At 35.0% G+C, this 15,640-nt stretch overlaps 1 long non-coding RNA gene across 2 annotated transcripts in view, besides 1 other annotated feature; it reads left to right on the top strand.

Annotated features, from left to right (window-relative positions):
- Positions 1 to 15,640, top strand: part of LOC105377462 (uncharacterized) — a 360,687-nt gene that overhangs the window by 262,889 nt on the left and 82,158 nt on the right. The gene's annotated exons all lie outside the window — the stretch shown is intronic.
- Positions 10,683 to 11,206: an enhancer, noted in NCBI's record as "NANOG hESC enhancer chr4:145209206-145209729 (GRCh37/hg19 assembly coordinates)". NCBI's record gives its function as "activates a minimal SCP1, AML or CMV promoter by ChIP-STARR-seq in naive H9 embryonic stem cells {active_cell/tissue: H9 hESC(naive)}" and the evidence as "EXISTENCE:reporter gene assay evidence [ECO:0000049][PMID:30033119]".

Here is a 15,640-nt window from a genome sequence, read left to right as displayed (position 1 = left end):
GTCTGTTTGTTAAGCAGTCACAAAGCTCTTGGGAACTCTTCTGCTCTGTATGGGAGCAAATGTCATTATCTTGACCTTCAGTGTATAGAATGCACCTCTTCCTTATTTATTGCTTTCTGCTACTGAACTAAATGTTTCTAGATACAACTGGCATTTTCTAGTATGTTTATTCTCTATATATGTAACATCATTAAATAAAATGACTAGAAATGGAACCAGGACTGGCAGAAATGGGATCTATCTCTCCATATCCTCTACAGCTGTTTCTCCCAATATTTTCTGAATCAGAACAGATCTGTTTAAGAGGAGCATATGAGCATTGTTCCTGCTGCATTTTCTTCAGGTTTTTGTTTTGTTTTGTTTTGTTTTTTTCTAAGCCTCCCTTGTCCCTTAGGCAGAACTTCTTAAGGTTGACCACAAGTACAGCTAAATGCCCAAGACGGGTATAGGAGACTAAGGAGACTACTGTCCATCAGCTAAGGCAGTATATGCAAATCCTATTTTGACTGTCAAGAGTTTTCTCTGCATTCCTTCCTGAGTACAACATGTGCATTGCATCAAGAATGGTAATGTTCCGTGAGTCCTCCTTCCTGGGACACTGGCTACCATTGACTGCATGTAGAAATCTGTCAACAATTCTTTCCTTTCCCCTGCTCTCTAATTTAGCCCACTGCCAAGGGAATAATAAAGATGTTGTATTTTGTGGCAGGAAAATCAATTTCAGGGGCGTAGCTGGTGACACAATCTAGTATTAGTACTGATGTAGTCCCTATGCTAAACCCTGACCTTGTACCTTTTATTTTTTGAAATGTTTATCATCAATCTCCTTTCTTCATTTAGCAAAAATGTAAGCTATCAGCTGGAGATTCCCACTGTAATATACTCTGCCAGCTAAACTTTATATTTAGTTCTTATAATTTCCAGGTTTCTTCTTCCAGTAGTGTGTCATTTAGTTTAGCCTGTGATTCACTTTATTTTTATTTTTTAGTTTAATTTCTCCTTCCTTTATTTTCACCAGGGGAAAATGTGACATTAGCTGTCAATGTGAGTAACACATGTTTTCTCTTCATACACGCCTACTGACAAAATTTTAAAATAACCAACCCCTCAAAATAAACATATACATTAATAAAACAGAATTGAGAGTCCAGAAATAAACTCTTATATTTAAAATCTATTGATTGCCAACAAAGGTGCCAAAGCAACTTCACCAGGACATTTGGATGGCCATATGCAAAAAGGTAAACTTATCTCATGCTATACACAAAAATTAACTCAAAATGGATTAGAGTTAGAAATAAACCCATACCTTTATGGTCAATTAATTTTAGACAAGGGTGCCAATAAAATTCCAAGGGCAACTGAATATCCACATGCAAAAGAATAAAGTTAGATTCCTGCCTCACACAATATGTAAAATTAATTCAAAATGGATCAAACAGCTAGATGTTATAGTTAAAACTATAAAACCTGTAGGAGAAAGTTTATGTGTAAATACTTGTGTTCTCAAATTAGGTAATGGCTTCTTAGATATGACACCTAAAAAATAAATAGACTTTGGCAAAATTAAAAACAGTATTAAGTCTTTGCTTGTCTGTGAGTGTACTAAAGAATAAAAAAGTAAAATTAAATTAAAAATTAAAATTAAAAATTAAAAAATGCTATGAAGTTCTTTGTGAAAAGATAACCCACAGAATGAGAGAAAATATTTTCAAGTAATATATCTGATAAGGATCTACTAATGGTACCCAGAACATATAAAGAACCCTTACAACCCAATTTTTAGAAATGGGCAGAGGATTTAAATAGATATTTTTCCAAAAAAATGTAAAAATGGCCAATAAGCACATGATACAATGCTCAACATCATTAGATGTAAGAGAAATGCAAATCAAATCCACAATAATATACTATATATCTACTAATTATAATTTAAAAATAGGACAATACCAAGTGTTGATGAGGATGTAGGGAAACTGGAATGCTTGTACACTGATGGTAAGAATATAAAGTGAGTCTGGGTGCAGTGACTCACTCTTGTAATTCCAGCACCTTGGGAGGGAGAGGCAACAGGATTGCTTGAGATCAGCAGTTCAAGACTAGCCTGGAAAACATAGCAAGACACTGACTCTACAAAAATTTTTTAAAAAAATTACCGGGGCACAGTGGCACAACCCTGTAGTCCCAGCTACTGGGGAGGCTAGATCAGGAGGATCTCTTAAGCCCAGGAGTCTAGGTTGTAGTGAGGAACAATCCCGCCACTGCATTCCAGCCTGAATGACACAATAATACCCTATATCTTAGAAAAAAATGTAAAATGACACAACCACTTTGGAAAATAACTTGGTAGTTCCTGAAAGGTTAAACATAGAGTTACCATAAGACTTAGCAATTCTACTTCTAAGTATATGCACAAGAGAATTGAAAATATATATTCACACAAAAACTTACACATGAATATTTATTGCTGCATTACTCATAATAGCCAAAAAGCAGAAATAGCTCAAATGCCCTTCAACTGATGAATGATTAAACAAAACATGGTATAGCCATACAATGGAATATTATTCAACCATAAAAAGGAATTAAGTACTGATACGTGCTATGAAGTGGGTGAGCCTTGAAAACATTATGCTACATGAACGAAGACAGATAAAAAGACCATATGTTGTATTATTGTATTATTGCCCTTAAATGAAATACCTAGAATAGGCAAATCCACCTAAGAAAGTAAATTAGTGTTTGCCTGAGACTTGTGTGGGAACAGTGATTAGCTGACAATGAGTACAGAGGATCATATTAGGGTGATGAAAGTGTCCTAAAACTGGATATTGTTGTGGTTTTACAACTTGATAAATTTATTAAAAATCACTGAAGTGAATATTTAAAATGGGTAAATTATATGATATGAACATGATACGCCAGTACAATTATAGAGAAACAAAATGAGAACCAACTCTGAGGGAATGCATGAATGAGAGATGCCAGCAGACCCTGGAGTACCCGGAGTATCCCTCAAAAATGATGTGTGCATCTAGGTCAATAGCTAATCCTTCCTGGCCCAGGAAGCAGGAAGAGGCTAAAGGACGGGACCTCATTAGATCTGGAAAGGAGTAAGTTAGAATGTGTTTAAGTTCTGCACGTATAGAATTTTGCTTGTATCTCCAAAAATCTCCCAAATAATAGCTAATATTAAAATGCATTTATTAAATTATTTATGTGGATTATTTTATGCAATCCTTTACTAAAACACTATGAAGTAGACATTCTTTCTATCATTTCCATTTTTCAGAAGAGGAAACTGAAGAAAGAGATGTTGAATACTCTATCAAAAACCATGCAACTAGCAAGTAGCTTATCTGAGAATCAAATACAAGGCAATTTGATTCCAGAGCCACTCAACCTTTTTGAGATATGACACAGATGCATAGTTGTTCAGTAAATCATGCTTTGCGCCTTATTAGGCAAAATACCTGGTCCATGGCTCAAACAAGTTTAACATGATGGGTTCATCAAGAATGCCCTTGGTGAGATCTCATTTCAGAGGAATTGGATAGTTCTCTAAATCATTTTTTAAAAGATAACAATAAAAATGACTTTTTAAAAATTAATTGTTACGTACAATGAAACCATGAGTTTAGCAGAAAGCAAGTTAGGCTGGAAAAGACAAGGTAGAATCTATTACATTAAGTGAATGGCAACTTCCGGCCTGCCTGCAGTGGCCACAGTGACCTCCTGTGCCTCTGTCTCAATGTTGGTATTTCAGTTTACTGTGATTCATATCCTAAAATTCTGTTTGTAGGAGAACTGTTTCAAGATTAGAATACGTACACACTTTTTCATAGAAATAGTATAATACATGCGAACACACAGATACACATCACACTATACAGATCCACAAGAAATGTGGATATTTTTAGAGACAGAGTCTCGCTCTGTCACCCAGGCTGGAGTGCAGCAGAGCGATCTCGGCTCACTGCAACCCCCACCTCCCGGGTGCAAGCAATTCTCCTGCCTCAGTCTCCCGAGTAGCTGGGACTACATGCGCATGCTGCCACGCCCGGCTAATTTCTTCTTTATTTTAGCAGAGATGGGGTTTCACTGTGTTGCCCAGGCTGGTCTTGAACTCCTGAGCTCAGGCAATCCACCCACCTCAGCCTCCAAAGTATTAGGATTACATGTAGAAGCCACCGTGCCTGGCTAGAAATGTATTTTTACAGGCTTTTTTTTTTTAGAAAACACTATTATAATCATTAATGGAAATAATAGGCTTTAAGGTAGACTGTTAACCTTAAGTGGTAACTTAGTAGCCCTGTAACCATGGGCAATTTACCTAACTTCTCTGAGAGTTCCTTATCAAAAAAATAATAATAATAAATAAATAAATAAATAAAAATAAAATAGGAAATTACCTGCATCACAGGGTTACTGAGGATAAAGTGTACTTTATTTAATCACTCACCATTTCCAAAAAGACATATATGATGGGTAAAGTACATATAGCACTTAGCCCAGTGGCTACAACAGATCATGAATCTAGAATAAATGCAAGTTTTCTTTCTTTTTCAAACAATCTCATATAATAGAGGATTAGACTTGAAGTCAAAGGACTGGAGTTTAAATTCCAACTCTATAATCATGGAAAAGCCACCTTTCCTGTCTAAATCTGTTTCTTCAGAAGCAAACATAAAACCTCTCTGTAGAAATTTATCTTAGACTTCAATTATCTTTGGATTTTTTAATACAGTGTGCAACACTCAATAAAAAGGCATATGTTCTACAGATACATACTGAAATATTTACAGGAGGTAAAGAAGTGGGTGGAGGTATAACTGAAACAAGTTTGGTCATGACTTGGTAGTTGTTGAAGCTGGGTCACAGGTACACAGATATTTTTAATATTAGTAGATCTATTTTTGTTTATGTTTGACATTTTTCATAATGAAAAGTTTTTCAAATAACCAAGCATTTTCAACCCAAAGCTTTCTTTTTCCTAATGTAAACAAGCATACCACGGACACTATGGTTAGAAGACCAGGCATGACTGTGTGTTTTCCAGATGGAATTAACACATAATAATTCTATTCAGGAGGTTAAACTATCAAAAGCTAAAACTCTCTTACATCTAATGTACAGTTTCTCCTCATTCTGTTTCAGATTCATGCTTTCCATTCTGACCTGATCACAATCTCTCTATTTCAATTTGTGTGTTTCAGACTGAATCCTCTGGCCTCATGGTATCCATATATCTGTGTCTAGGTTCTAAGCAGTACCACCTTATCTAAGCTCAGACTGTTCCTATGTTCCTTACTCCACTCCATGATGACCCTCACAATACAGGCCAATTAACAGGACTGTAACCCACAGTGGCTTCCAAATGACAAAGGTAGGCCAGAGGCCTGACTGGTGACACAGAAGATCCATGCCTCCTGTCCATGTCCCTACACTAAACCACAGGCCACTGGACTCTATAAAGAGATACCAGAGAAGGGAGAAAAGCCACTTAGCCTCTTTGAACCTGTTCATTCATTTGTAAGATGGAAATAATTCACTTTTCTAATGTAACAGAGTTTGTGAGCAGCATAGAAGATAACAAATGTGACAACTTTTGAACGCTATAAAGCACTGTAACAAACAGGTCATCATTATTAATGTGTAACACATTTCGCGAATCGAATCTGATCTTGCTCCAGACTTCTACTACACACAGATTTCCTTTTCAAGCTAAGTTTAAATCTGGCATCATCATTACTGAACATCAATTTTACAAAATCAGACCTGTCTAAAAACATTGCCATCATAATTCAAAACTTTGGAAAACTAAATAATGTACAGCATTGGAAAAATTAAACATTAAATCTTCCATCAAAGTTTTATTATTCACCCACCAACATGAAAAAATTTCCTATAAATAACTACCTTTTAACCAGGCATTAGTTTTTCTTTAAAATAAGTTTAAATAAATTAATATTCTACTATCAAAGGGAAAGCTGAATATCCTTAACATCTCAGTTAAGCTTTTGTTGGTTTTCTTTATCTTCTGGGATTCATACCTGTATTTAGTGGTAAGACAAAGACAACATTTATTTGGCTTTTGTTCCTTGGGGGGATACGGAGGCGAGGGATGAAGTTCATTTGCTGGTATCTGGAGAATTTTAAACCTCATTCTTTTATTTTTTTTTATTTTCCCCCAAAGATTAGTCTATCCCCTTGTGCCTTCTTAACCCCCTTTCCGTGGAATCCCTGTGTGTTCACACAAGTGTTAGAACTTGTGTGGCTGCCCCTGCTTCAGATTATTTAGTGCACATTACAGAACCAACGTGTGTATTTTTCTTATCCATGGGTCATTTCATTGCCACATACCTAAACAGCTAGAAAGAACTGACACTCAGTGTTGGTTATTCACTCTACGTGATGTTTGCATTTATGTCTTTTTTAGTAATTTAAAGGCTAGTTTGGGGGTGAATGTCAATTTTATAAACTTCTTTTCAGCCAAATTTAATTTGATTTATTTGCTTCTTGGTATACTTAGCTTATTTTTAACGTTCATTTATTCATTACAAAGAAATATTCTCATTAAAAGTATAGATTATTGTGCATTTTTAGCTGAAAAATTCCAAGAAATTAGCAGCACTGTGATAGATCGGAGGACAAAGATGCATATAAGAAAAATAGGCCAATATTAGATCAATACAATTCATTCTATTGTATACTGTGCATTGATCTATATTGACAGTTACAGGTAGAGCATTACATCTCTTTAACAAGTTTAGAAGCAAAGAGAAAAGTACACAGAACTCAATTTTGAGCAAGATTTTACGAGGCAAGTTTTTATATAAAAAGCAAAATAAAGCAGAAAAATAATTTTAAAAGTTTATAAAGTTTTCCACTGAATGAGTTCATTCTTAACATATAATCACCATCAATATTTTATTTTCTGTATGTGTGTATATGTATAATCTAATTTGGCTAATATAGCCCTATTATTAGTTAAGGCAAGCATGCTTTTACTTGTGTATATATCTAGCTCTCCAACTTTATTCTCATTTAGAATATATTTACATATAGAATATATAGTCAATATATATACACACACATACATGTATATATACATATACATATACATATATATATATATGCCAAAGGCAGATCGATCGATCGATCGATCTATATCTATCTATCTTCCTTTGATTTGACTTCTGTTGTAAACTAGGTAATGTTCATAATGTTAACTCATCAGTAGAACATTAGGGAAATTGTGTATGGAATTGCCCCAGTTGTTCTTTGGCTATGTCTATCTCCCCAGCCAACAATTTGGGCCCTCTTTGACTAACAGAAGATCTATTCAGTCAAATCATTTGACTTATTTTTCACTAAATTGATGAGCTTGTATTTCTTTCTTTTCTTGAAAAATTTCTTGAATAGCTTAGTTGCCTCATTCAACTAAATCAGCAAAGTAGGTCATACAACCTATGGTGAAACCTATACAATTTAAATATTTTTGGAGGGAGTTGCTTGTCAGAGTTGGGTATAAGTATGATGTTTCTTCAGTGAAGAGCTCTGGGCTCTCTCTCTCCCTCCATGTCTCTGTTCTTGTTCCAGTTCCAGTTTCTGGGAGACAGTGATTCCAGAGAATCTAACTTGGCTAATATAACCCTATTATTAGTTAAGGCAAGCATGATTTTTCTTGTGCACATATCTAGCTCCCCAACTTTATTTTCATTTAGACACTCTCCTGTTTAAAGTTTCAGACAAGCCTAAAAAATCCTGCTGAATTATTTATGAACCCAACACAAATTGTCAGCAATTTGTCTTTGATTCGTTAGCTTGCAACATTGTTCTTTCCAAATCGGAAAAGCATTCTGGAAAGTTTATTCATAGACGAAGCAATCAAAGCTGTGCCTTTTAAGTTTTGAGCAGTTTTTGTTTTCTTGGGTCAGGACTGCCACAATTTCATCATAAAAATATTTCCAAACAGAATTGTCTGCTATGGTAAAAATGCCTGTTTACCCACATCCACGTACAGGTAATTACCAGAGTTAACCAGTAATGTTACTTAAGTAATCATTTTTTATTGAATAATTATGTAATTGTGATTATATGTAGCATATTATTATAGAGGTTTCCAAAAGCACATGTCTTTTCAGTATGGAGAGATAAATTCGAGCTTGACGCTGTAATTGGAATCATCCAAAATCATACAAAATAGTATCTCGGAGGATGTCTGTTCTCTGTCTTTCATTTATTTTTTAAAGTTTCTACTACCCAGAATAAAAATATCTGGAAATTTACCCTTCACTCAAAAAAGAGAAGAGAGATTCTGAATCTTTGTATGTTTCCATTGACACAAAGATGCAAATTAGCAAAAATATATATGATTTGAAAAATGTTTCTAGACACTTATTTTCTACTCAATAAAATGTAATCAAAACCTTAGACAAGATCAATGAGATCAGATTAGATTAATGAAGACAGAACTCAGAAATAATCATAGATGCTTAAGCTAGAAAGCTCTTTCCCTGTACTTTATCTTTCCATGTCTTTAGTCAAGAAGGTGGGTATCATCCCCAATCTTAAAGAGTTCTACCCTAACAATACTTCCAATCATTGTGGGTGTCTTTCTACTAAATTGATGTTTCCTCTGCTGTAAGAGCCAACTCCTCCACCCTCCTCATCCTCTAGGTCCTTTAGGAAAATGAATTTTATTAAGCACATATTTTCCCTTAAGACATGATTATGAAGCATTTGGAAAAGATAAACTGATTTGAAATTGATTGGCAACTTTTTTTAGCCTTTTTTTTCTTTACAATACAAATATTTAGTTACATATTTTCATACAAGACATGGTCTTTGAAAGTTTTTAGGAGTGTGTTTAAACAGTGCTTCATGCCGGTGTTTTGATGCATTTATCAATTTAAAGTGTAAATACATAACTAAACAATAAACATCTTCAGTTTTAATATGCTTTATAAAACACACATTTCTAATCATTGCAACACCTCAGATTCTCTAAATTCCTATAGTGGGGTTTTCACCACTTCTAGGCTCTTTTCCAAATTTTTCTTCTCACATATTTTTACTGTATCAACTCTAATGAGAAAAAAAATTTAACTCTTGCAAAACAGAAATTTGAAGATTAGAGAAATGGATTAATGAGGCCACTTGATTTCTCTTTCTCCTTCACATCCATTAGACTATTCAAAAATATTTATAATACTTATACTATAGCCTAAGGATTAAGGTCTGTGTTTAAATCCAAGCCTTAACAAGTACCAACCTTGGACAAAATACTTAATATCTCTGGGCTTCCATTTCTTCCTCTGCATATTGTGGCACAAGTTCCCCCTTGCTTTGTGGATGTGCTGGGAGGAATAAATGAGTCACAGGGTAGAAAGTACTCAGAAATATGCCTTAAACATAGTTTTAAATACATGTTAGCTACAAAGTAATGATATTTTTACATTCTAATATTTTTCCCAACTAACTCTTGAAGCATATTGAAAATCTGAGTCATGGATGTTACATAGGCACCTACCAATGAATGTCTCCTTATTCAGTGCTATTTTCTCCCATTCTTCCTTTAGTCAAGCAGAGCATCTCCTCATTTGCACACTCATCTGTTACCCTAAGTCTATGACCCTCCTTGAAGTCTTGTCCCCAAACCCATTTTATTCACTAAATCTGTTTTACCCCTTTTGTGGTTGCTATTCATTTTATTCTTGTTCCATAAAATCTTTCAAACAGGTAAGAAACTAACTTTTACCTATTCATTGTTTATTCAATTGGATACAGCAGGCTAGTTACGCTTATATTTGTTTTATAATGTGTGTGTGCATGCATGATAGGTGCTCATATAGGATTTGTCTAGCTTCCTTTTTAATCCGGGAGAACAATGTTTCTACTGTAGACTATGTGCAGAAGTGTCATTCTAGAATTCAAACTAGATCTTATATGATCAGCCCATCATCAGAGTAGTCTCAGAAATGGAAGGAGCCACCATACATCTTTTTAAACTTTAAAAATGCACATTTGCATATGCTGTATATATTACATCTGCATTCCGTCTGTATATATATACATCTGTATATAATTCATCTGCATTCCACCACCACAATTTTTGCCATGTCAGATGACCAACTGCTCTATTAGTCACTTAATATTTTTTAAAAAGTAACCCACTTTTTGTTTTCACCTTAACAAAATAATTTTTAAAGGACACTACATTTTTATTACCATATATGGAAAGAAATGTGGTACATTTGCCTTACTAAACAGGAAAAATGAGTACAATGGCATCCGTGGCCTATGGCTCACTTCCATCTTCATCTTGATGGAGGGGAAGGAATTTAATGCAGGTTCCTCTCTGTCTTCTTTCTCCTAGCAGCAGGTTCCAGCCTTAACTGCATATTAGAGTCAGCTGGATGATTAAAAACAATGTACTCATGCCTGTAAGCCACCCCCAGAGATTAAGAGCTTTGTGGTAAGGCTTGAGCATCAGTAGTTTCAAAGACACCCGAGGTGATTCCAATGTGCAGCCAAGGCTGCACAGAGTAGAAATTACTCTATTTGAATGAACTTTAGAGATGAGTCAAGACTGCAAACCACAGATAAAAAAAAGCCAGGCAGGCTGAATGTACCCTGCCATGGTGTATACCACTAGGGTCATCTGGTTTGGTAGCAAATGGTGTATATACTATATACTATATACAAATGGTGTATATACTATAGTTTTAGAAATGTTGGGATGGTTTCGTTCTCTTTGTGTATTCTGCTATTGTTTTTCTGCCTCATGGCTTGTTTCTTCCTAGCTTCTGCCTCTTCTTAACTTACATAACTATCATAGTTCCAACTTGTCTCATGAATGTTTCCTGTGCCTCTTCAACACCAGGTCCCTTGGCCCAAGGACCCCATTAACTCTGTTTTCTAATGCAAAATGCTGACAACGAGTAATTGATTGTTGCAGCTCGTCATTGTAGGATGGTCTGCATCACTATTGATCTTAGCGTTGCCAGCATGTGGATCCAGTCAGCCTCTCTGACACATGGGGAGAGGGCAGGGAAGCAAAGTAGTCTGCCATCCAACAGGGCCGCCTCTGCACTGAGGCCTAAAGATTCTCTGAAAGGGCTTGGCCCTCACTTGGGCATTGACTGGTTTGTCCTGGACAGTGTTTCCCACACTTGGCCCATCCATCATCAAAATTAATGCAGGACCTTGAGAGTTTTGGTTTAATCCTCCCAAATTCTAACTCAGTAAGCCTGAAGGAGGGCCAGACTTTGAGAATTAAAGTAAAACTTAACAGTCACTTTGAATTGGGAACTCTGGGTTAAGTAATCCCTATGATTTTTTATTCTACAACAACTCTATGGTTCTAATAACCTCTACAATAGTGATATTAACATCTCAGAAAGCAAAGACCACAGCTCCTATTTATTGAGATTTGTGGAACATGATTTCTAGGAAATATTAATTAGTATCTGGACAACAAAGAATAATAAAAGGAAATGCTGAATATTAAATCCTCCTCTTCAATATTAACAATGTGCTAGAAGATTAGAGACCCTGAGAAGGCCTGTTGTAAAAGAAATTTGTCTTTTAACCATTGAACTAATAGTGACATTGAGCTAAAAGTGACAACTTTGTCTCACTAAGTCTATTAACACTTATTTAAATTATTTTCCCTCAACGGGATTTGGAGGCTCCAAGCCTCCACATTGTCCTGTATATGGTGAATTCTCAATAAAAGCTATTGATTGACAAATGGCTGGTAGAAGAAAGGCATAAGACTGCAACTCAGATTCATCAATTTTGTTAATTGTTAGCAGCCCTGGTAAAAGTTTTGATAAAGAGTTCAGAACTAATGGTTCCAATGAGGTTTTAGTATTAACTGAGTTTCATTCATCTTAGCTGCCAGTGTATTTGATTAATCTACACTAGTATCTCCTCCCACCCAAAGAGAATAATAATTTTGTTTCTATACCATATGGTGGTAGAACAAAAACAGGGCTTACAAATGTGGACTGTAAGCCATTCATCATCCTCTTCAATCTCATTTGCATTTCAGAGTTTCAAATGCAGTATAATTAATATTCATTAATCAAATAGACGGCCTACCCAGTACCTGTACATAAGTAATATCCAATATGTGTTTGTTAAATGAATCACAGATAATTCTTGCATCTTTGCTCTCTGGATTTTCTTTTTCAACCACACCTAAACCAGATACTGCAAACAACTAGGTGAATTTGCATTATTAATATAAGGGAAAGGGAACTAGTATTTGCCAGAAGTTGATCTTTGTTTCGGGTGGATTAATCACAGCTGAGGTCAAGGAGAATAAATCTACATTCCAGAATTTCCCAGTTACAGTTCAAGACTAAAAGAAAACAAAGGAAGTTAGAGGCTAGAAAGAGGAAGGAAGTGAAAGACTCTCCAAAAGAAAATACAGGTGTTCTAAGAGTCTCATTATTGTTATAATTTGACTTTGTAAAAAGTCCAATTGGACTTAGTAATGTTTGCTCTTAACAACACGCTGTATTGTGTCAATTCCATGATGTGACAGAGAGGATAATATCTGGGGGTTAGTGTTATTAAAAATTATATTTACATAAAAAGGAATAGAGCATTTTTAGTACTTTTATGTTAGTATTTTATATATATATATATATAACTTTTAACATAAAAGTACTAAAATACATATATATGTTAAAAAGTTAAAAAGTACATATACATATATATATACACACACACACATAGACATACAGAGTTGCTATAACACACACACAGACATACAGAGTTGCTATAACACTTGCTCTCTTCTACAGGAAAATAACTCCTTTTAAATTTTTCATGCTGTTCATCTTCAAAATAAACTAGGACTGTGAATAGCTATATATTTTTAAAAGTCACTAGGTTAGGTAAAAACGGTTTAAATAGCTACATGCTTGCAAATGCACTTAGAATATAACATAGAAGATTCATTTTCAGTGGTATCCCACTAAAGCAGTTGCTTACATTATTGAAAATGAGGAAGTTTTTGCTGCTAGGGTCAGTCCATTTTCATCTCTGACTACCCAAAAGCATGTGTGAATATTAACCCTTCAAGAGCCTGACCAGACCCATTGTCCATGGATTGCAGTTGAATGAAGGTAGAAAATGTACTTGTTATAAAGCTTCTAGCCTGGGTGTCTAGATAGCATGGTGATAAGCATCATATAAACAAAGAGAGGGATGGAATTTAAGTTACCTTTATCTATATCTCCTTTCATATACAGTATGTGCCATAGACAGACACCAGTGTCTCATTACATGACCACCCACAGAACATTACCCAATGTGACATTCTTCAGGGGAAATTAACAGAAATGTTTTTACCACATCAGTCTCTTCCAAGAACACTGACTCAATAATGGTACTTAAAAAGTGACCAGGGGACCATGGAAATGTCTCTCTTCCATGGTCTTGACTAGAGGGCATAATAAATACTCCACATTCTAAAACTACATAAAGCAGAAGGATACAGAAGGAAACACTCCCCCCAACACAAACAGACTCATGGATATACACACACAGATATACATGGATGTCAGCTTACTCTTTAGTTGGTATTTCTGATTGTACAGTATTTTCTCACTCTAGGTATGTAACCATCCTCAAATTTTTCTACTAATTGTATGTCATCACAGTAAACTTGTAATAGTTTATTATGGTTCTTTCCCCTTTAAAAACATTTTTAAAATTCAAGAGGCTCATTGGATTTCAAGGAATAATGATCACAAATGAAGTTCCAGACTAGAAATGTTGAAGAATAGAATTAGTATTAGAAATCTTAGATATCTGAATTTTTATAACCTAATAATTTTTGAAAAATCACCATATATAAAAATATATATGTGCATTTCATTATAGTCTGTTTTTTAAATAAGGAGGATCTGGCATTGATTTTGATGCATATTGGTTTTCCAGAGAAGCAGAACTTATTTGAGGGTTGACATATTTAGTGATCATTAATTGGAACATCCATGGTAGAAATGAAACACAACCTTCAGTCTCATTTTGTTTTCGCATAGATAGTATATTTCATTGTGATCTGAGGAGAAAACTGTATGACCGGTATTTTTCCAATACCAGGTACAGCATTTGGTGATTAGGAGGGAATAGATAAAGGATAGGGAGTGACAAGGACAGATCTCTAAAGAGACTGGGGCCTGGTTTGAAAAGAGGAATTAGGAGGAGGAAAATATTACATGCAGAACCACTGTTAATTGGACACATCATGAAAGACCATGAATATTTCGTGTGTGTGTGTGTGTGTGTGTGTGTGTGTGTGTGTATGTGTGTGGTGGTGGTGGTGTATGAGCTACAAGATGAAACTGATTTCAGGGCTTCATGTTTGTCAGCTTCATAAGCTGTAAAAATTGGTGAAACAAGCTAACCTGTCCAATACCACTGAGTTGAATTAAATTTACATGCACTATGAAGAACCTTGAAAGTTCATGCGGCTGGATAAAGAGTTGAAGTGCATTCTCTTCTCTAAATAAGCCTGTAACTATAGCCTCAACTTTGGGGCTATCACTTGTGTCCATTATCAAGTAGTTTTTCACTCAAAGTGAAAAGTAAAGGGCAAATGGGAACCATAAAGACATTTTTTATTTTCTTTTTGGCTTGCTATTATCAGACGGCCTAAAAATAATTGATAATTTCATTTATTTCTAATTCCTCAAAATTGAAAATTTCTCGGTTTTTTTTTAATTCTTAAAACTAACTACTTTGGAGGTAGGAGTATGTTAGCAAGAAACTATTTTGGTTGTTTGTTCAGAATTCTCTAAATGTAAGTTAAGTAATCTTTAGAAGAACAGGAGGTGCTGATAGAATAATTGTGTTTACTCTTCCCACTTCATGATTTCTTTCTTATAAACATTGTTTGGCATTATTGGGCTCCACACTCCTTTTTCTCATCTGATGTTTTACAAATATTTTTCTAATTGCCTGAGACAGTGTGGTCCAATAAAATTAAATTGACTTTGGGTTGAACTTGTTTCTCTGATCTCTTGCCAGAGGTTATAGTCACCCACTTGAACTGACTTTCACTCTGTTTGTTGGTCTCTGTCTCTTTCTCTCTCCCTTTTATGTTATTTTGCACTATTTATCTATTTTTTTCTCCCTCTAACCTAATGTACAACCCTCAAAGTAATTCTCAAGATTTCCTTAAACAGAAATTATTTTTAAAGAAATTCTATCTATCTATCTATCTATCTATCTATCTATCTATCTATCTATCTATCTATCTATCTTTATCTCTCCACCCATTATCCATCTAATTACTTTAGCCACCTAAATCAACAGTTCAAAGTTTCAACCTAAGTCACTGGAAGAGGTGGATTAAATGCTTAGAAAACAAGAGCGCTTGGAATAGCCCAGTTGTTTGACGTCTGGAAACACTTTACAAACAACCCCCAGGAAAATAACAAAGCAAATAGCACTGGTCTACCGCAATGGAACAGATACGGTGTGTGATCAGTTAGCTGCAACCCGCAAATAAACACAGACAGGCAATCTAGCAAGCAAAAACAGAAACCACATTATTGTCCACCACAGGCTGAAGACTTTAAAGTAAACTTAAAGCCTCATATGTGTGACTTCT

The sequence above is a fragment of the Homo sapiens genome, chromosome 4 (assembly GCF_000001405.40).
Source record: "Homo sapiens chromosome 4, GRCh38.p14 Primary Assembly".
Taxonomy (NCBI): Eukaryota; Metazoa; Chordata; class Mammalia; order Primates; family Hominidae; genus Homo; species Homo sapiens.
The sequence above is the reverse complement of the archived record's forward strand: the minus strand, read 5'-3'. Positions and strand labels throughout refer to the sequence as shown.